General features: G+C 41.7%; 1 long non-coding RNA gene across 1 annotated transcript in view; it reads right to left on the bottom strand.

The window, feature by feature from the left end:
* The window catches only part of LOC107987008 (uncharacterized), a 69,179-nt gene that overhangs the window by 11,563 nt on the left and 36,885 nt on the right, over window positions 1–20,731 (bottom strand). The window contains exons 2-4 of the long non-coding RNA XR_001746516.1: window positions 12,882–12,995; window positions 10,241–10,320; window positions 4,205–4,253 (exon numbers count right to left, since the gene is read on the bottom strand). This is a non-coding gene — a long non-coding RNA (uncharacterized LOC107987008). The remainder of the gene's footprint in view (window positions 1–4,204; window positions 4,254–10,240; window positions 10,321–12,881; window positions 12,996–20,731) is intronic.

The raw sequence follows: 20,731 nt of genomic DNA, 5'->3' as shown, positions 1-20,731 counted from the left end.
TTCAACTTAATTGGAGTCTTTTGTGATTCCTGAATTTGGATATCCATTTTCTTTCTCAGTTGAGTGGTTTTAAGCCATTATTTCTTCAAATAAACTCTCTTCCCTTTCTTGCTCCCTTCTCCTTCTGGAACTCTCATAATGCCTGTATTGGTCCACTCAGTGGTACCACATAAATCCCACAGACTTTCTTTATTTTCCATCATTCTCTTTTCTATTTGATCCTCTAATTCAATAACTTCAAATGACCTTTCTTTGAGTTCACTGATTCCTTCTTCTGATTGATCACATCTGCTGTTAAATGCTTATAGTGAATATTTCAATTCTGTTATTGCATTATTCAGCTCCATAACTTCTGTTTGGCCTTTATTCTGGTTTCTGTCTCTGCTGATATTCTACATTAGTTTGTGCATTGTTTTCCATTTGTTCTTTTTGTTTGTTTGTTTTTTGTTATTTTGAGATGGAGTCTGGCTCTGTCGCCCAGGCTGGAATGCAGTGGCATGATCTTGGCTCACTGAAAACTCCGCCTCCTGAGTTCACGCCATTCTCCTGCCTCAGCCTCCTGAGTAGCTGGGACTACAGGTGCCTGCCACCACGTCCAGCTAATTTTTTGTATTTTTTAGTAGAGACAGGGTTTCACCATGTTAGCCAGGATGGTCTCGATCTCCTGACCTCATGATCCACCTGCCTCGGCCTCCCAAAGTTCTGGGATTACACGTGTGAGCCACCATGCCTGGCTGTTTTTTTGTTTTTTTGTTTTTGTTTTTTTTTTAGATGGAGTTTTGCTCTTGTTGCCTAGGCTGGAATGTAATGGCGTGATCTTGGCTCACTGCAACCTCCAACCTCCACCTCCTGAGTTCAAGCTATTTCCCTGCCTCAGTCTCTTGAGTAGCGAGGACTACAGGCACCTGCCACCACGCCCAGCTAATTTTTGTATTTTTAGTAGAGACGGGGTTTCATCATGTTGGTCAGGCTGATCTCGAACTCCTGACCTCAGGTGATCCACCCACTTCAGTCTCCCAAAGTGATGGGATTACAGGTGTAAGCCACCGTGCCCAGCCTTCCTCTTTGTTTAGTTATATTTCTGTGTTCTCTTGTAATGCATTGAGCTTCTTTAAGGTGATTATTTTGAATTCTTTGTCAAGTAATTCACAGATATCCATTTTTAGGATTATTTTTTCTGGAAGTTTATTTTATTCCTTTGATTGAGTCATGTTTCTATGTTTTTCCATGTGTCTTGTTATTTTTTGCTGTGATGTGTGCATTTAAATATACAGCCACCTCTTCCAATCTTCATAAACTGCCTTCATACAAGGGAAGAGCTTCACCAATCGGCCTGGTTAGAGATTCTGGGGTCCTCCAAAATCTTTTCTGGGGATACATCTTTTCTGAGCTTATGTATCTGATTTCCCAGTTAGAGAGATTTGCAGTTTCTTTTTCAGGAGCTTCTAATCTCTTGCTGACACTGATGTCTGTCTGCAGTACTAGAAATTCTCTGATGTAATATGCAAGCTGCTGAATACCCTATTGTTTTCTGTGACCATAGGCATCCAAAGCATGCAGGTTCTGTCAATGCTCCAAGTCAGGTAAGACAGAACTCTGTTTGTAGGGCAGCCCCCTGACCAAAAAAAAAAAAAAAAAAAAAATACACTGAATTGCTGGATGCATGTTCCACTCTTCTCTTTTTCTTCCAAACGAGTAGTCATGAGCTGGGCATTTTCTCCCAGTCACTCCAAGCTGTACCAGCTCTTTCATGGTGATAAGGTTCTCTGGGGCCGCATCAAACTGCTGAGCAACCTTTTCTTCTCAGCAGTCCCAAGACATCCATACTATACTGGTTCCTCATCACTGCTTCAAGCCAGGTGAGAGGGAAACCAGTCCCTGAGCAGCCCCCTGAAAAGCTAGAACATTAAACATATGTTCTACTCTTCTCTTTCCCTCTCAAAGGAAAAGGCATGAGCTGGCCTTTTTCTCCTAATTTTGCTGTGTTGTGCCAGCTTGGAGGAGCTACTAAGGTTGAAATAAAATAACCTTTCTTACTCATTATAATGTGGCTGTTCTTGGCTTTGAGCTTGCCTGAGGTGCAATGATTTCTTAACTACTTTCTGGAGTTCTCATAAAGGCTTATTGTTGTCAAGTCAGTTTATCTGTGAGTGAATGAAGCCTGGGGCTTCCTAGTCTATCACTTTACTGACATCACTCTCTACTTTCTGTTTATTTCTTAACAAATTCCCAGATACTTCCTCTGGGCCCAAAAGTACCGAATCCATTTAATCCCATCACTTATTCATTATAAGGAGGAAAGCAAGGAGACCATGTTCTACAAGTCATTTCTGGCACTTTATTTTGCATCCACTCCAATATAATAAGTTCATAGTGAGCAGTGGTGGAGTAAAAACTTTAAAAGATGGAGAGAAAAATCTCTGTGTTAATGAGAGTTTTTCCAATTGACTGTGTTAAAAAAGAACACTGACTTTAGAATCAGACAAATAGCAGACTAGCAATCCCAGCTTGACTACTCAGTATGGAATATGGAGAAATTGAAATTCCCTGAGCCTTAATTTCTTCAGTAAATAATGCTGCCTTCACATAAAGTTGATATGAGTGTTCAATAATGAATGCAAAGTTTCTAGCCTAGAACACAGAACACAGTAGGCATTCACAGTAGGCACTCTCCTCCTCCAGTTAGCCAAATTAGATGAAAAGTATTATAGCAAGGAATAAATCATGTGAATAAGTTCAGTATATACCATATACCTATGGAAAAATATTGTATAATCTAAAGACAAAATTTATATGTGCCTAAACTTTCAAATGATGTCTAGTACCTACTTTACATTTTTATAAACCAGCTGCCACATGCCAGGTAATTTGGTTGTTTGTTCTATGCCAACTAAATACCACAGTGAATTAGTGAGGTTTTTTGTTCTTTTTTTTTTTTGCTTCTCACTAGAAAAGTATTTTAGAATATAAAGCCTGAAAAGAAAGGCCAGATATTTGTAACTGACTGAGCAATACCTGGAAGGTTAAATAGGTACATTGAGGGATGTTGGCCAGAAAGGCTTCAAATGTATACCAAGAGAAAAAAACAAACAAACATAGGTGACATTTTGATATCACCATCAGCTTTACTTTAATAAGTAATAATAAAAGACATGAAGACATTGACATGTCTCTATAAATGTACACAATGCCAAAAGAGTTGTACATTATTTATTAGACTTGAACTGAAAAATATGTAAAGTAAATTTGCATATTGATTCAATCTACCATTGACTTTCAATATGATTTTTAAAATCTCAAAGAAATATTTCCAATTTGAATAATTAATACAATTCATCCTTCAGATCCTGATAGTCATTTAAAGTACCATTAGCAATACCTGTCTACTCACTCCTACCAATTAGGTGGCAAAAAATAAGCCAGAGTCTAAATACCCAGGAATTTTTAAAACTCACTTCAAAATAAATCATCTCATTAAGGCTTTGCACTGCCTATTAAAGGCAGTAATGTAGATATTCAGCAGAAAATGTAACATGGAAAAGGGGCTGAGTCTGACTATACGGTAAAAACCCGTTATTAGAAAACTCTGCAATTAGCTCTCTTCATTAAGATCTGCTGGCTGGGCCGGGCGCGGTGGCTCACGCCTGTAATCCCAGCACTTTGGGAGGCCGAGGCGGGCGGATCACGAGGTCAGGAAATCGAGACCATCCCGGCTAAAACGGTGAAACCCCGTCTCTACTAAAAATACAAAAAATTAGCCGGGCGTAGTGGCGGGCGCCTGTAGTCCCAGCTACTTGGGAGGCTGAGGCAGGAGAATGGCGTGAACCCGGGAGGCGGAGCTTGCAGTGAGCCGAGATCGAGATCCGGCCACTGCACTCCAGCCTGGGCGACAGAGCGAGACTCCCTCTCAAAAAAAAAAAATAAAATAAAATAAAAAATAAAATTAAAAAAAAGATCTGCTGGCTGATGGACCAAACACAAAAAAGCAAACAGGTTTTACAGGACTTAGTGCAAATTAATGACAGTTTATATTGCAATTTATTTTGCCCTAGATAACTTCCTTTGCAAAGATGTCAGAGAAAAGGGAGAAGGCAGTATTAACAGACAAATTACAAAATGTGTTACAAGTAACATACAAATATGTGCAAAAGTTCTTTCATTTATTGGTTTATTCACCTTTATGCAACAATTATTGAGCACTTACTATGTGCCAGGAAAGACTTCACAGGACAAGATCTCATGGACAATATATCCTAGTGGGCAAGACAGAAAATAACAGATAAGTAAATATATAAAATAATTTTAAATAGTGATGTATGCTATGAAGAAGATAATCTTATGTTACTGTCCTATCTTGGTAATTTAGCAGTCTCAAACTTTATGAAGCAGGTATAAAGAAAGGCTAACTTACGTGCTTTCATCTGAATCATTACATCAAATGATTGAACCAAGAAAAAGCCTTCCTCAGTTGGCTTCTTCATGAAAGTGACCACATCCTCCTTTCATGGAAACCGTTGGACTCACTCACTGACAGGATTTGACTTATCCTTCATGAATGTTGAAAATAAAATTACAGTTTTTTTGAAGTTTAGGAAACAAAAAAGAGTTTATTCAAGAAATAATGCCTGTGATAAAAAGAGCTCATTTGCACCATTTCTACCTGATTCTGAGTAGGCTAGTTAATGTTTTAGAAATTGCATTTGGGACTCAAGCAAAGCCTTTTGAAATTTAATATTCTGTATATTCATAAAAGCATAATCAGATGTGTATTATTATTAAAAGTTCCTCTCATGGTTTTCATTTATGGTAAACGGCAATATGAAAGGACATAAAGAATACAAATTGATAAAAAATTTCCCTTAAAAAAAAAAGATTTTAGGATCCCCTTCCTCCTGCAAGACAAGTAGTTTCTGATGAGATTTGATTGACACTATGAGGTCTATGCACCTGGGTTGATATTCGTGTCTGTTTTTGCAATTAGAATACGTATTAGTGCTGACAAGCCTGGAAATTCTTCAGCACTTTAAAAGAAGCACAATTTTAGTCTTGCAAAAAACCTAATTATAATAAACAAAAAAATTATAGCTCTGATCATAGTAACCAGGTTGCAAACTCCTACCCAATAGTAGGAGTTTCAAACAACCTTCATTTAAGTTATTGTATTCACTTCACAGAGGAAAGAAATAGGGCAATTGAGCATTAAACAGTGTTGCAAATATGACTGGAAAACCTCCACCTGATTCAAGGGAAGTGTCTGTCCTCGGTGAAATGGGAAGATTGGTCAGGGGCCTATCCCCCTCTTGGAGGTAAATGAGGCCAAGTATTAATATTATTCTAAGCAGGTGGAGGTCTTACTATATTAATCGGATAAATTCTAAAAATTAGGTTTATGCTTTAATGAGCTGCAGAAGGTTTGATTTTTTTAATGCTTCAACTGATCTGAATTCCTAACTCACAATACAGAATGGTCTTATGAAATGTCCCTATTCATAAAAGGTGCGTATTTCAATTTCTAGACAATTCATTAGACATTCTTCTCTGTTTAATCCATAAAAATAAAGCCTATTTCATCATGATTTGGATAATTTTGCAAAGGACGATGAGGCATCCCAGAGCTGGTTGCTTGCATAAACTGTTTTCATTTTCATGAATTTGTAAATAAATTACTGCCTGAACAACCAGACTTTTATAAGTCTTCAGGGTAGCTGTATTTAAAAAATTATACATAGTACTCTGACAGTACATTTCTCTAAAGGAAGTCAGAAAATTGTTCAAAAAGTATTTGGATTCAGCTTCTAGGACATATTTAAGGTAGCAAACCTGCCCACCACCAGAGTATGAAGTAAAACAAGGCTAAGAGTGATAGAAGCATTTTTTTTTCTTTGAGATGGAGTTTTGCTCTTGTTGCTCAGGCTGGAGTACAATGGCACGAAGTTGGCTCACTGCAACCTCCAACTACTGGGTTCAAGACATTCTCTTGCCTCAGCCTCCCAAATAGCTGGGATTACAGGTGCCCACCACCATGCCCAGCTAATTTTTGTATTTTTGGTAGAGACGGGGTTTCACCATGTTGGCCAGGCTGGTCTCAAACTCCTGACCTCAGGTGATCCACCTGCCTTGGCCTCCCAAAGTGCTTGGATTACAGGTGTAAGCCACCACCCCCTGCCAATAGAAGCATTTTTTAACATGAGAGTCATTTAAAATTGCATGAGATCCTACCACGTAACAAACGCTGCATGCGTGCACTTTATGGGTGCATTCACATATGGCACCTCTTCCAAAGGGCATGCGATTTGGATTCCATGAAATTGAATGTTGCAAACTCATCAAAATGCAACCTTTAAAACTAGTTTTCCAAATGAAGAAACATCATAATACAATTTTATAGGCCGATGTGGAAAGGCTGTGTTAAAGACTGAATGCCTGCTCTCTGACACGTTCATCTTGTCAAGGCTTCCCAAAGGCACTGCAGACTTTGCAGCTGTATTAGCAGTGATTCCTTCGTTTGGAATGCCTGTTCCCATGCGCACACACTCTTGCTGCAGCCACATCATATTTAAAATCTGCCCTGATCCTCCTGGTTGACATCAATGTTGTCACTCCTCTTCATTTTCATAGCATTAAGCCCTATTTTGTACTTAACAGAAAGTAAGTTCGGCACAGAGGGAAGAGAATTGGGCCTATTTTGTTCATATCCCATCTCTGGAGCTGAGCATAGTGACAGGTACACAGAAAGCTCTCATCTGGTATTTTGAATACATTATAACATTTTCCCAGTCTTTTCAACATATTGTCTCAGCACTGGTGGGGGAAAAATGCTGCAAAGGCCATGCTTTTCCAGCCTAAATCTTCCCCAGGACTGGCACAGTGAGTGGCACATAGTAGGGGTATTAGTCCCTGTGGCTGCTTAACAAAGTATCACAGCTGGGCTGCTTAAAATAACAGAAATTTATACTTTCATAGTTCTAGAGGCCAGAATTCCAAAATCAATGTGTTGGCAAGACCACACTTTTCCTGGAGTCTACGGGGGTGGACTGGTTCTTTGCCCCTCCCATCTTCTGTTGGCGTCCCTAACTTGTGGCTGCATTACTGCGGTCTCTGCCTCCATGGGCACTTAAGTTCCTCCTCTCCTTTCTGTGCTTTCTCCCTTTGCCTCTCTTTTATAAGGACACTTGTGATCATAATTCAAGGCCACCTGAATAAAGAAGGTTCATCCCCTCATGCCAAGATCCCTAACTTAATCACGTCTACAAAGACTCTTTTGCCAAACAAGGGAACACTTCCCAGTCCCAGGGATTAGAATCTGAGATCTTTGGATGACCATCTCTCAATCTACTACGGTAGACGTGGAGTAAGTACACGGAGTTTTACCAGTACAAGCACAGTGATACATGATCTGTTGGTTGATTCCATATATCTTGTTTTTGATGCTGTTTGCCAAAAAATATCAAAAGATCACAGCTCTTCTGCAAGGCAGTCATTTAAGCAGAGAAATAAATCCACTGTAACGGTGTTATTTCTCACTGTTGTTTTCTTAGCTGAGTGGCTGGTTTCTTAAGCATAGCCACAGCATCCGATGAACCCTAGAATTTCTGTTGCATTTGCAATCATCTCTCCAGTCACTTGGGTCCTTCTGCACTCGCTTCCTGCTCTGACTTATGTGGCACCATTCCACCATGTGGCAGGACTCCCCATCTTTTTTGTGGCACTGACACGATAGGACACTACACATTTCTAACCTTTATTTTCAACAGATTGTTCCCTCACTCAGCATAAAATTTCATCCAGCATTCTCATCACACGGTGAGGGTTCACTGATTTCAATGGTGTATGAAAATGCAGCTCTGGGCTGGGTGCGATCCGAGCACTTTGGGAGGCCGAGGTGGGTAGATCACGAGGTCAGGAGATCGAGACCATCCTGGCTAACACGGTGAAACCCCGTGTCTACTAAAAATACAAAAAATTAGCCGGGCGTGGTGGCGGGCGCCTGCAGTCCCAGCTACTCAGGAGGCTGAGGCAGGAGAATGGCGTGAACTCAGGAGGTGGAGCTTGCAGTGAGCAGAGATCGTGCCACTGCACTCCAGCCTGGGAGACATACCAAGACTTCGTCTCAAAACAACAACAACAACAACAACAACAACAACAATGACAAAAGACTCTCTGTTGTATGTGGCGTCAGAGACAGAAGCAGATGGCTAAACTGGCCTGTGCTGGGATCCCAGCACTAAAAGCCAGATGGTGTGGATTTCAGTCAGATCTTTCATAACCAACAAATTTGAGAAACAGATGAGGCAGGGCCAAGAACTACTAATTTTTTCATTTTATAAATAAGCACCATTAAGCTTTTCTTCTATAAAGCCTCTTGATCTAACCACTAACTAAGCTATTTGTCTGAAACCCTCAAGTCAATGTAGTAAATAAGCATTTACTAAATTTAAATTTAATAAAATAAGCATTTTTTTTTCCTCTTTTGGCCAATTTAGTTCTTTAGAAGTTGGGTTAACAGAAGCCAACTTCACCACCGTCAAAACATATGTTTGCTTTTACATAAGTAGAGGCATGCTGTTACTTCTTTTTAAAAATAGTTTAGGCCAGGCGCAGTGGCTCACGCCTGTAATCCTAGCACTTTGGGAGGCTGAGGCGGGCAGGTCACGAGGTCAAGAGATTGAGACCATCCTGGCCAACATGGTGAAACCCTGTCTCTACTAAAATTACAAAAATTAGCTGGGTGTGGTGGCACAGGTGTGTAGTCCCAGCTACTCGGGAGGCTGTGGCAGAAGAATCTCTTGAACCCAAGGAGGTGGAGGTTGCAGTGAGCCAAGATTGCGCCACTGCACTCCAGCTTGGCAACAGAGCAAGACTCTGGCTCAAAAAAAAAAAAGTTTAGTGTAGAAAATAGTACTTTCAGATTGGGCTACCAGTGTACCATGCATAAATGAAAAGTGTCCTGTGTCATTAAACAGGTGCATTTAAAAAAAGAATTTTTTTACAGGTCCACAAACAAGTTTGAAATTAGAAGGAAATTGTGAGCATTCAAATAATAAAGTGGCTTAATACAATCCAAATAAGCTGAAATGTTCAATTACAGAGTATATAGTAAAAATATAGATCCATGCTCTCTCAGTGCAAGCTGTCATCCCATGTCACAGCATGCACTATACGCCCTCTTCTTTTCTCTTACTAATATCTTTAAAGCTGCACTTGCACCCTTACCCTCACACGATCCTTCCTTACTTGCATGCTTTTTTTTTTTTTTGAGACGGAGTCTCGCTCTGTCGCCCAGGCTGGAGTGCAGTGGCGCGATCTCCTCTCACTGCAAGCTCCGCCCCCCAGGTTCATGCCATTCTCCTGCCTCAGCCTCCCGAGTAGCTGGGACTACAGGCGCCTGTGACCATGCCTGGCTATTTTTTTTTGTATTTTTAGTTGAGACGGGGTTTCACCATGTTAGCCAGGATGGTCGCGATCTCCTGACCTGGCGATCCACCCACCTCAGCCTCCCAAAGTGCTGGGATTACAGGCGTGAGCCACCGCACCCGGCCTGCATGCATTTTTAAACTGCATTCAACTCTTTAAATTCTTTTTAAATTTTATTTTTTAATTGACAAATAATACTAGAGGCAATGGTAACCATGAATTCTGAAAGAGATGACTGTTTTATTAAGAGCTTTTATTATTTTATTTTTGATCAACATAAAATAATTATACATCTCTATGGGTTACATAGGGATGTTTTGATACATACAATACAACCTTACTGAATTGTTTATCACATCTAATGGATTTTTGGCAGAGTGTTTAAGTTCTTCTATATATAAGATTATGTTGCCAGCAAATAGGGACAATTTGACTTCCACCTTTCCAATTTGAATAGGCTTTATTTCTTTTTCTTGCCTAATCACCTGCATAAGTTGTTATTGGATACCCACTAGATACTAGGCTGTTTGTTCTATGCTAGATGCTATAAGAATAGAAATATGAAAAAAAAATACCTACCACAAGGAATTTTAGTCCCATGGGCCAGCCCTAAGGCAGAGAGCTAGCTATGAGAGATATTGTGAATGGTACTAAGTGGCCAAGGAACACAGAGAACAGAGATGTGAATTCACATTCACAAGGGCTGGAGGAGGAAAGAGGCAACTGGTAGGTACGTGGCATTTCTAGGCCATTTGGTGTTGGTTAGGCTTTGAGTAGACAGATAAGAAAATAAACGGGTTTTCAGTTGGGAGAACGGTATACCCACAGTATGAAGGCAGAAAGACTCGAAGGTTGTCTACCAAACAGCTTTCCGACCAGTGTGATCCAGGAGACTGGGAGAACTCTCTGAAAAAAAAAAAAAAGAAAGAAAGAAACAGCATAAGTCGGATAACAAGGACCAGACTAAGGTTGGAAGTTTATTCATTAGACCCTAGAGACCCATCAAAATGTTTTGAGCAGCGTTATATTAGATGGGTATCAAATACTTCTGGAATCCATTGGTACTGGATTCATTATATTTTAACCACTCCACCAGGCCTACCATTAGTTACAACATGAGAAGCTAAACGTTATATTCTAACCAACACTTTATCTCCAGTTTTTGCAGAGAAAGCAGTCTGAGCTGCTGCTTTGACTCCACTCAGTAGTTTGTGATTAGTCTGAAATGCTCTACTGCACAGAGCAGGGTCAAGCACATTTCATACACTTGTTTAACAAGTAGCACTCAGGAAGTATATTTTCTGATCCACTTCATAGTATCACAATGCAAGCCGAAAACAATGACTGAAGATGGCAAGATAAAACTATTTGTAATGGAAGCAAATATAAGTTATCCACTTTTATTATTCAGTCCTCTGTTTGGATGGAACACATGAATATTAAAATGGCTGTATTTCATTCCTTTTCAAAAGTAGTAAGAGAAGGATAATCATATGCAATAAAGCATTTTCGGCCTGGGTCTTTATGACAGCTCTAAATGCCTGCCACATTTTAAATACCACAGGTGCAAAACAAATGTATAAATTCCCTGTTACATAATTTTCCATTTATATTGTAGAGAAACAAAATACAGTGTAATGGGGAATTTAATTCTCTGAATAGAAATTATATAATCTCAGCAAGAAAATTCAATAACAGCTTCTACACAGATGGCAAAAATCTGCTGAAAGATCCCAAGAGTAATGGAAGACAACTGGAATTTGCATATAAGATTGGATATCACCTTTCCAAAGCCGTGTCAATAATTTAGTTCCAATGTTTTCTGCGTGATTCACTAATTTTATAATTATAATTTTTGGCAGAATATGGGCTACTCAAAATGGTCCAAATGCAAAAAGTAGCTTTAAGCAGAACATGAAGTAATCTATCATCTTTTTATAAGTAAATAAATAATAATCACATTTGCTATTATTCATATGCTTTGCAAGTTTAGTATTTCTTTGTGTCCTGTAACATGTTCCCTTCAAAGTAATGGAAGATGGAAAATAACAACAATGAAAAGCTGGAACGTGCTCAAAATTTTGACACATCAGCAACACCACCAGTTAAATCCACATACTGCACTAAGATATACAGTTTAGTGAACAGTTGTCAGGCAAATCTATTGTGTGAGTGAACCAGCCAATGTGTTCAGCACTCTTATAACAACTAGTTTAGAACATTTTTTGATTGAGTAACCTGAAGACTCTAGGAGACTGAGAAGTGTGCAGAGACCCAGCCAGTAAAGATCTGGGACAGAAATTAAGAACGTTAGACTCCAGGTTGAGTGTTCGCTCCACGACACAGCAGAAGGGAATTGGAAAGACCCTTGTTTTTATAGTATCTTCATTGTCATAGGCTTCCTAAGAAGAAGAGTTCTAGGGGTAAAAGTCACCAAACGCAGAGGGAAAGTAAGTTTTCTTTCAGTGCTTTTTAATTAGCAAACTCAATAATGTTGGCAAATACATATATTCATCCCCTGAGCTGAGTCAACACAATCTAAATGAAAGAGAATCTGGGGGAGCATAAAGGAGGGAGGCTGTGAATTAAACAGCCTGGGGAAGCCTCAGACATCACTGATCAAGGTGGCCTAAGCATCTCCTGCATCCCAGCACATGTTTGGCTGTGGAGACACACTGTTTCAGAAGGCATACACACAACCACCAACAAAAACAGGTCTAGGTGGGTATTTTGCAGGGGAGACTCACAGGGCTTTCCTGCAGTACCATCTCCTCTCTTTATAAAAATTTAGAATCTTGTTCTGATTAGTCCAAACCCACAACCATGCCCTTCTCCCATTTTATCTGTTTCCCCCCCTATTTGGGAATAAATCTTATGGTTTAAATTACTTTGACAGGTAAATGCCAGTCCAGCATCAGCAAACCTGGTGGGTTGCCATAAGCTACTGGCAAAGTGCAACCACCAGGGGCGCCCGAAACCTGTGGAGGCGGAGATTGTGAGTTTGTCAAAAACAAGGACACCCTTAAAGCAGGCGCATTGCTGGGTGTGAAGCAGGGGAGGGGGCTTTAAAAAGGCCGTACCTTGGTCGGGCTCGGTGTTCACACCTGTAATCCTAGCACTTTGGGAGGCCGAGGCGGGCGGATCACAAGGTCAGGAGATAGAGACCATCCTGGCTAACACGGTGAAACCCCGTCTCTACCAAAAATACAAAAAATCAGCGGGGTGTGGTGGCGGGCGCCTGTAGTCCCAGCTACTCAGGAGACTGAGGCAGGAGAATGGCGTGAACCCAGGAGGTGGAGCTTGCAGTGAGCCAAGAATCGCGCCACTGCAGTACAGCCTGGGCGATAGAGCAAGACTCCGTCTCAAAAAAAAAAAAAAAAAAAAAAAAATCCTGTCCTCTATATATTGTCTCTTTTGGGATTCCACGAAGATGACATGCTAGTGTGGGACTGGGTCTCACCTCTCACCTGAAACTGGGAGCTGGAGGTCAATAGTCGTAACCTGGAAGTGCTGGCTGGCAAGGTTTTGGAGCAGGCTCATATAAGGGTGGTTGGAAGGTGCAGTTCTTGAGGGTACGGCTGCTACAAAAAAAAATACAATAAAATGCAATGCAATATTTGGGACATACTTATACTAATTAACAGTATTTGTCATTTATCTAAAATCCAAATTTAACTGAGTGTCTTAAATATTCATTTTCTAAATCTTGCAACCCTACTTGTGGTAGAGTGGGGAGGAGTCACAAAAAAAGGAGGTAAAAAGTCTCCGGGTCTGCTGTGTCGGAGAAACAGAGGTTAATACAGCAAGAGTCTGGGCTGGAAGTGGAGAAGTGGCTGAGATAAGAAGGCCCCTTACCTGACTGCCCTGGATTTAGGGGAATGGATGCTTCACAGTCTGCCCTGGGCATAAGAGTCAAGCAACATTCCTATGATAACCTGAAGAGTTCCATTTTTAACATACTGAATTTTGGATGGTGCAATTAATATCTGTTACACAGTTACCACATTGCAGTGTATCGATCATTTGCACTAATATCTAATTAAATTGTAAGTTCTGGCATTTTATCTTTCCATACCCATATCCTTGGAAAATGCTAGGTACATATTTGTGCTTGCTGATTTTTGAAAAAAAATTCAAAAAATTTTTTAACACATTTACTAATTAACCATAAACTCAGTATCAACCAGTGCTAAAACAGGGAAGAGGGCATGCAGCTACCTGGATATGGCACACAGCTACCTGAACAGACAATATTACAGGAAAGGCAATATACATGGAAAGTCTCTTCTCTCTGCACAAAAACGTATCTCAGAAAATAGTTTTTTCCCTGCGTTCCTGGCTCTGACATTAACAAAGGCAGACTGAGGGTGTCCCAGGTGACATACATGATGGTGGGGGCTACTGACGCCTTTTCATGTGTAGAAAGATTAAAAGAAGGAAAGACAGGCCGGGCGTGGTGGCTCACGCCTGTAATCCCAGCGCTTTGGGAGGCCGAGGTGGGTGGATCACGAAGTCAGGAGATGGAGACCATCCTGGCTAACATGGTGAAACCCCATCTCTACTAAAAATATGAAAAAATTAGCCGAGCGTGGTGGCGGGCACCTGTAGTCCCAGCTACTCGGGAGGCTAAGGCAGGAGAATGGCATGAACCCGGGAGGCAGAGCTTGCAGTGAGCCAAGATCGTGCCACTGCACTCCAGCCTGGGCGACAGAGGGAGACTCCGTCTCAAAAAAAAAAAAAAAAAAAAAAGGAAGGAAAGAGAGAAGACAGGAATTAGGAGGTCGTTAGAGACTGTGACATTCACCTGCCAGATCCAGATCCAGGTGAATCTGACTCTTTTTCCAGAAGCCCAGTTTTAAGCATTCAAAGTGCCCAATAATGCAAGACAGCCTCGCAACGGTAACGGGGACCAGGGCTCCTGGCCACTGGAAAAGCTACAGCTGATTCTAGGGGAACAGCCAACAGAGATGTAATACATACCTGCATTTGGGAGGAAGCGAGGACCAGGCATCATTAAAGGCTTGTCTACATTTAAGTGTCTGTGGTTCCAGATGAACCTGTCCCAATGCTTCCCTCACCATTCTCTCTTCCTCAAATCAAGATGGACATAAAACTGAATCACCTCATTACTTACCAAACATTACAGTGAAAGTCTCACTCACCCTCATAATTACTTAAAAAAACCTGCACTTACATGATTCTGAATGGGCAGATAAAAACATTGTATGTTCTGGCTTTATCAGAGGACTGAGGTTAAATGTGACAAGAACAAGCTCAGCTCTGCCCGGGGATGAAGGGCCTGCCTGTCACCCACACCCCGGGGATGTGGACTCCCAAAGGTATTCAGACACCTCTATCGCTCCCTGCTGTTCAGGGACCAGTGAATCTTGCTTGTGTCCTGCCTTAATTCCACTTACGACTTTTCTGACGATTGGACTTTATCATCTTTACATTTGCATCACTGCATCTGTGTATATGTCTGTAATATTTTTATGTTTCTCAAAACACTTTATGTTGTTTTTATTTATTCTAAAAATCGTAAGTGGAACTATAACAGAGTAATGATGCAAATTTCACTCACAATTGAAGATTTAAAAATCCAAGCCTCGGTTTTCTTTTCTTTTTCTTTTTTTTTTTTTTTTGACATGGAGTCTTGCTCTTGTCGCCCAGGCTGGAGTGCAATGGCGCGATCTCGGCTCACCACAACCTCTGCCTCCTGGTTTCAAGCGATTCTTCCGCCTCAGCCTCCCAAGTAGCTGAGATTACAAGCGCCTGCCACTACGCCCGGTTAATTTTTGTATTTTAATAGAGACGGGGTTTCACCATGTTGGTCAGGCTGGTCTCAAACTCCTGACCTCAGGTGATTCGCCCACCTCAGCCTCCCAAAGTGCTGGGATTACAGGTGTGAGCCACCGTGCCCGGCTTGGGTTTTCTTTCTTCTTTCCCACAAAGGTCAGTAGGAAACTGTTTGCAACAGGAAATGCCCTGGTCTCCAGGTGCTGCTCCAAGAAGTGGCTGACCCATTGCCATGTGTCATTCAAGTGACAGTGTTGAGGGACTAAATATGTCATTCCACGGTTAAAGTTGGCTACAACAAATTTGGCAAGAATTAAAGTGTAAACATTTCGGGGAACATTGTACAGTTAAAGCATCAGAAATAAATGGCAAAACAGTTTGCTGCTCCTATAGTCAACCAAATGAAAGTTTAAAACAATAAAGAAACATTAAAGTTTCAGGCCAGGTCACTACTATTAAAGGTTTGTCCATTTCACTTAGAACTCAGTTTCTCTAGCTCAGTATTATTGATATTTTGTACCTGATAATTTTTTTGTAGCAGGGGACTGACTGTCCTGAGTGTAGTAGGACTTTGCAGGCCCTCACCTCTGTCGACAAGATGCCATTTGACTTTGATGAAAATAGGCTACCATGGCCGCAGTTGCCCTTGGATTCCAAGGCAGCGGAACATGAGCAAAAGCTTGGAGCCCTGTCACTTGAGATGGTCCTCAGTGATAAAGAAACAAATTATTTCTGGCCAGGCGCGGTGGCTCACGCCTGTAATCTCAGCACTTTGGGAGGCCGAGGCGGGTGGATCACGAGGTCAAGAGATGGAGACCATCCTGGCCAACAGGGTGAAACCCCGTCTCTACTAAAAACACAAAAATTAGCTGGGTGTGGTGGCGTGTGGCTGTAGTCCCAGCTACGCAGGAGGCTGAGGCAGGAGAATGGCGTGAACCCGGGAGGTGGAGGTTGCAGTGAGCTGAGATTGCACCACTGCACTCCAGCCTGGGCGACAGAGACTCTGTCTCAAAATAAATAAATAAATAATAATGGTAAATTCTATCATGTATATTTTACAACTTTTACAAAGGCATAAAACTTCATAAGAAAATACCTTCTTTGGAGGCAACCTCTGCAAAAGACAATGTGGCTTTGAGGGAACAGGGCATGGTACTGCTGAGGCCCAGCAGCGGTGCCAGTGGCCAGGCTCCTGCAAGCCCATCTGTACCCCGATCCCAGCTCTGCCAGCCCGGGGCTCTGCTCTGGGCTCCCCACCAGGGCTGCAAATTGATAAAGCAGCTCTACACATATGAAAATATCTAAGAAACATAAATGATTCTCTAACTTGTATATTATGAATAATTATCCCAAAAGAGCATTTCCTCTTATGTGTGACAGGTGTCAGACCATCAATATAGGAGTGTATTAGGGTTCTCTAAAGAAAGGGACCCAATAGAGGAGATATAGATGTATATCGGGTCCCAGAGATAAATACACAAATATTTGTATGTGTACATATGTATATATACAGGAATCAGTTCACGGGATTCTGGAGGCTGCGAAGTTCCATAATCTGCCAACTGAAAGCTGGAAAATCAGGAAAGCCCACAGTGCAATTAAATCTGAGTCCAAAGGCCTGAGAATTAGAGCACTGCTGTCAGAGGGCAGGAGAAGAGAGATGTCCCAGGCCAAATACCAACAAGGGATTCCCCTTTCTCCGCCTTTTTGTTCTACTTGGGCCCTCAGTGGTTCAGATGATATCTGCCCACATTCGTGAGGGTGATCTTCTTTACCGAGTCCACCAATTCAAATGCTCATCTCTTCCAAATCACACTCACAGACACACCCAGAAAGAGTGTTTGGCCAGCTGTCTGGGCATTCCGTAGCCCAGTCAGGTTAACAGATAAAAGTCACCATTATGAGGGGAAAGAGCAAGTGGGGACGTATGGACTATGCACCCTCACCTTCCCAAAGTGGGGACTATCAAAAGTAGATTGAGTTAATCATGCATAATGCAAAACGTAAATCAAGGCTCTGCTTGTTTCATGATAGTATGAAAGATAGTATAAAAGTTACAGTTTTGGCCGGGCGCGGTGGCTCACGCCTGTAATCCCAGCACTTTGGGAGGCCGAGGCGGGTGGATCATGAGGTCAGGAGATCGAGACCATCCTGGCTAACAAGGTGAAACCCCGTCTCTACTAAAAATACAAAAAATTAGCCGGGCGCGGTGGCGGGCGCCTGTAGTCCCAGCTACTCGGGAGGCTGAGGCAGGAGAATGGCGTGAACCCGGGAAGCGGAGCTTGCAGTGAACCGAGATTGCGCCACTGCAGTCCGCAGTCCGGCCTGGGCGACAGAGCGAGACTCCGTCTCAAAAAAAAAAAAAAAAAAGTTACAGTTTTTAAAGATAAAACAAACACAAAGTAAACAACAAACAAACAAAGCTCAGAGGTTGGAAAGTTTTGTATGAACCAGAATTAGTAGAACTTGTCCTAAACGTGAACTCCGGACCTCCTCATAAGTAACTTAGTCACGCAACAACTGTGCTGAAGATGAACAAGCATAAATGTTGAGAATTGTTTGGTTTTCAAATGCAGAATCAAATTAGCTGTAAAGTCATTTCATTATGTAAGCTACGCTGCGTCTCTCCCTATGGTAGTGTATATATGATATTATGGTAAAAGGAAATGCAATAGAGCAGCCTTAAAACCCTTGATTGAATCCAACAAGTCTGGGACAATTACCTCATTCCTCAAATATTTTATTTAATGTCCTGGTGGTATTCACACTCTCATCCCCTAATGTAATTCTGTTTTATAATCAGTATTATCAATGATAAATTGGTATCTTTAATCATAATGAGAATTGTAGGCAAATCTTCTCCCTGCTTCAATAAGAAATCTAATTTTTCTTTTAGAAAAGAAAGGATGTTTTCCTCTAGTGATACATATAACTACACTTCTTATTAAATAATTTCAGCTCTCTTGTGTTTTCTAAAGCTTTCATTTTGCAGTTCAATAGTACTTAAGGTAGGATTGAGTCCCACATCTGTTTTAGCATGCTGGTGCCGCCAAAGTACCACAAACTGGAGGCCCCAGACAACAAAAATGTATTAACTCACAAGTTCTAGAGCCAGAAGTCCAAAATCAAGGCTTTGGCAGTGCTGGCTTCTTCCTGGAGGTTCGGAGGGTGGCTCTGTTCCCTGCCTCTCTCCTGGTGCTTCCCAGCAATCCTTGGCCTACAGCTGCACTAGTGCAGTCTCTGAGCTGTGGTCCATCATGCTTTTCCCTTTGTATCTCTGTGTCTCTTCCTATGAAGACAGGAGTGATTGCAGGAGGGCCCACACTGATCCAGGATGAGCTCATCTTAACTTGATTTTTCTGGCAAAAACCCTATTTCTCAATAAGGTCCCAAGCTGAGCTTCCAGCTGAACAGGAGCTTTGGAGGGACACTATTCAACCCACATGACCTCCCTCTTCTGAAACCAATTTCTAAATAACCTTTCTTGTTATATTTTCCATTGATTTCTGGTTTCTTGCTTCAGTCCATCAGTGTGGTGGTGGATGAACAGCAGTGGCCGAACAGTTTCCATGATCCTGTTAGCACTTGTTCTTGTTACACTCCTTGTCCCTTTCTCTTTCATGGCCTTTGTCACTGTTCAACAGTCAGAGGACTGATGCTAGGTGGACCACCAATACAGCCTGTCCACCAAACCTCAGTGGTCCATCCAGATGAGCAGGGGCGAACTAGAACCCTTACCTGGGACTTAATCTTAGAATTACACAGAAAAGCCTTTTTTCTCTCATCAAAAAGCCTCAACACTTCAGCTGCTATGGCATCAGCCTTATGAAGAAGCTGACCTGGGAGAATAAAGCCAGCACAAGAGAGAATCATAAATGAAAGATAAGAGAGTCCCAACAGCACCCATGTTCCTAACTTCACACATTAAAGCCAGTTTCAAATGACCTAAGATCAATCCACTTTTTTTCTTAGTATTTGCTAATTGCAACCAAAGAATTCTGACTAAAATAGACATCGGAGGTGTTGTGTTATGTTTTCCCAGAGTTGCCACAACATATTATCATAAACTAGGTGGCATGTAAACAGAAATTTATTGGCTCACAATTCCAGAAGATCAAAGCCTGAAGTCAGGTGACAGCAGGGCCATGCTCCCCCTGAAGGCTCCAGCGGGGAATCCTTCCTGCGTCTTCCTGGCTTCAGGTGGTTGCCAGCAATTCTCGGCTCACAGCTGCATCACTCCAATCTCTCCCTTCATCACTGCATGGCCTTCCACCCTCTCCGTGTCTCTCTGTCTTTCTGTGTCTCCAAATCTCCCTCTCCTTGTAAGGACACCAATCATTTCATTTGGGGCCCACCCTAATCCGATATGACTTCATCTTAACTTCATTACATCTACAAAGACCCTATTTCCAAATAAAGACACAATTCCAGGTTTTGTGTCTACTACATTTACAAGTGACGAACACTAAAATTTGATCTTGGCTGATTCAAGGTGTGACAGAGAACCTTGAATAGGCTCAAGGAGGCAAAACTACTTTGCTGCTTAGTGCACTGTGCATTAAGTTCTTCCCTTTTGTCTCTTGGGAGTCAATCCCCATGCATTCTGAAATGATTTAGGGGACCTTGCAGAAATCAGTGTAGTCAATTGTGTCAACTACTTCCTAAGAAATTCAGTAAGATGCAGTGGAAGCTCTAGAGAGAAGCCACAGGCTCAGCCAACCTGCCTAGACACAGAAATGGAACAGGTGAGCAAACATGCATGGGGAGTAGCATTTAGCCCATGTCCAAATAGCTAACACCATTTAAGGACAATCGTGCAGTGACCAGGAATGAGGACACTCAGGAAGCAGCAGAGTGGACTCCCTTGGGCAAAGGGCAAGGCAGCTGCTGCTGTCAAGGGGCAGAAAAATCCCAGGCCGATCCAGACTTAAGATGTGGTTTGTATACTCTCCTTGCTGTGGGAGATTGGATTATGGTCTATCAAAGATTCACTCTATTCTCTTTAACCTCCATGACAGAAGCATACTTCTCTCCCCATTGATGTTGGCCAATGAGCATTAACAGACTTCACCCAAGCAGGGGCTTGAAATGCTCATGAAATGCCTGTCCCTTGTGCTTCTGCCATTGCCCCAAGGAGAGCACATGCTAAGCAGCACGGCACGGGAACAGCTACATGAAGCTGACTTGAAACCCACCTGCAGCCTGGAGCCAAGCCAAGCCCTGACTTAATCAGCTTAACTCCAAGCAACCTGCTGATGTGCGAGCAAGAAATCAATGGTTGTTGCCATAAGCCATTGAGTTTGGGGGTGGTTTGTTATGCAGCATATTTGTGAGAATAGCTAACTAATAGAATAGCTAATAGAGCTCTGTTCTCGAGATAAAATGGATAGACAACTGATTAGAGCTTTAGAAATTGTATCGTTTTCCAATCCTGGCAAACAGGAATTCAAACCTTATTGTAATTATATTTGCTGAGCCAGAAACATTTCTCTGCCAAAAAAATAAGTTTAAAAATGAATAT

This window comes from Homo sapiens, chromosome 9 (assembly GCF_000001405.40).
Source record: "Homo sapiens chromosome 9, GRCh38.p14 Primary Assembly".
NCBI classification, from domain to species: Eukaryota; Metazoa; Chordata; class Mammalia; order Primates; family Hominidae; genus Homo; species Homo sapiens.
This window is presented reverse-complemented; position numbering and strand designations above follow the sequence as displayed.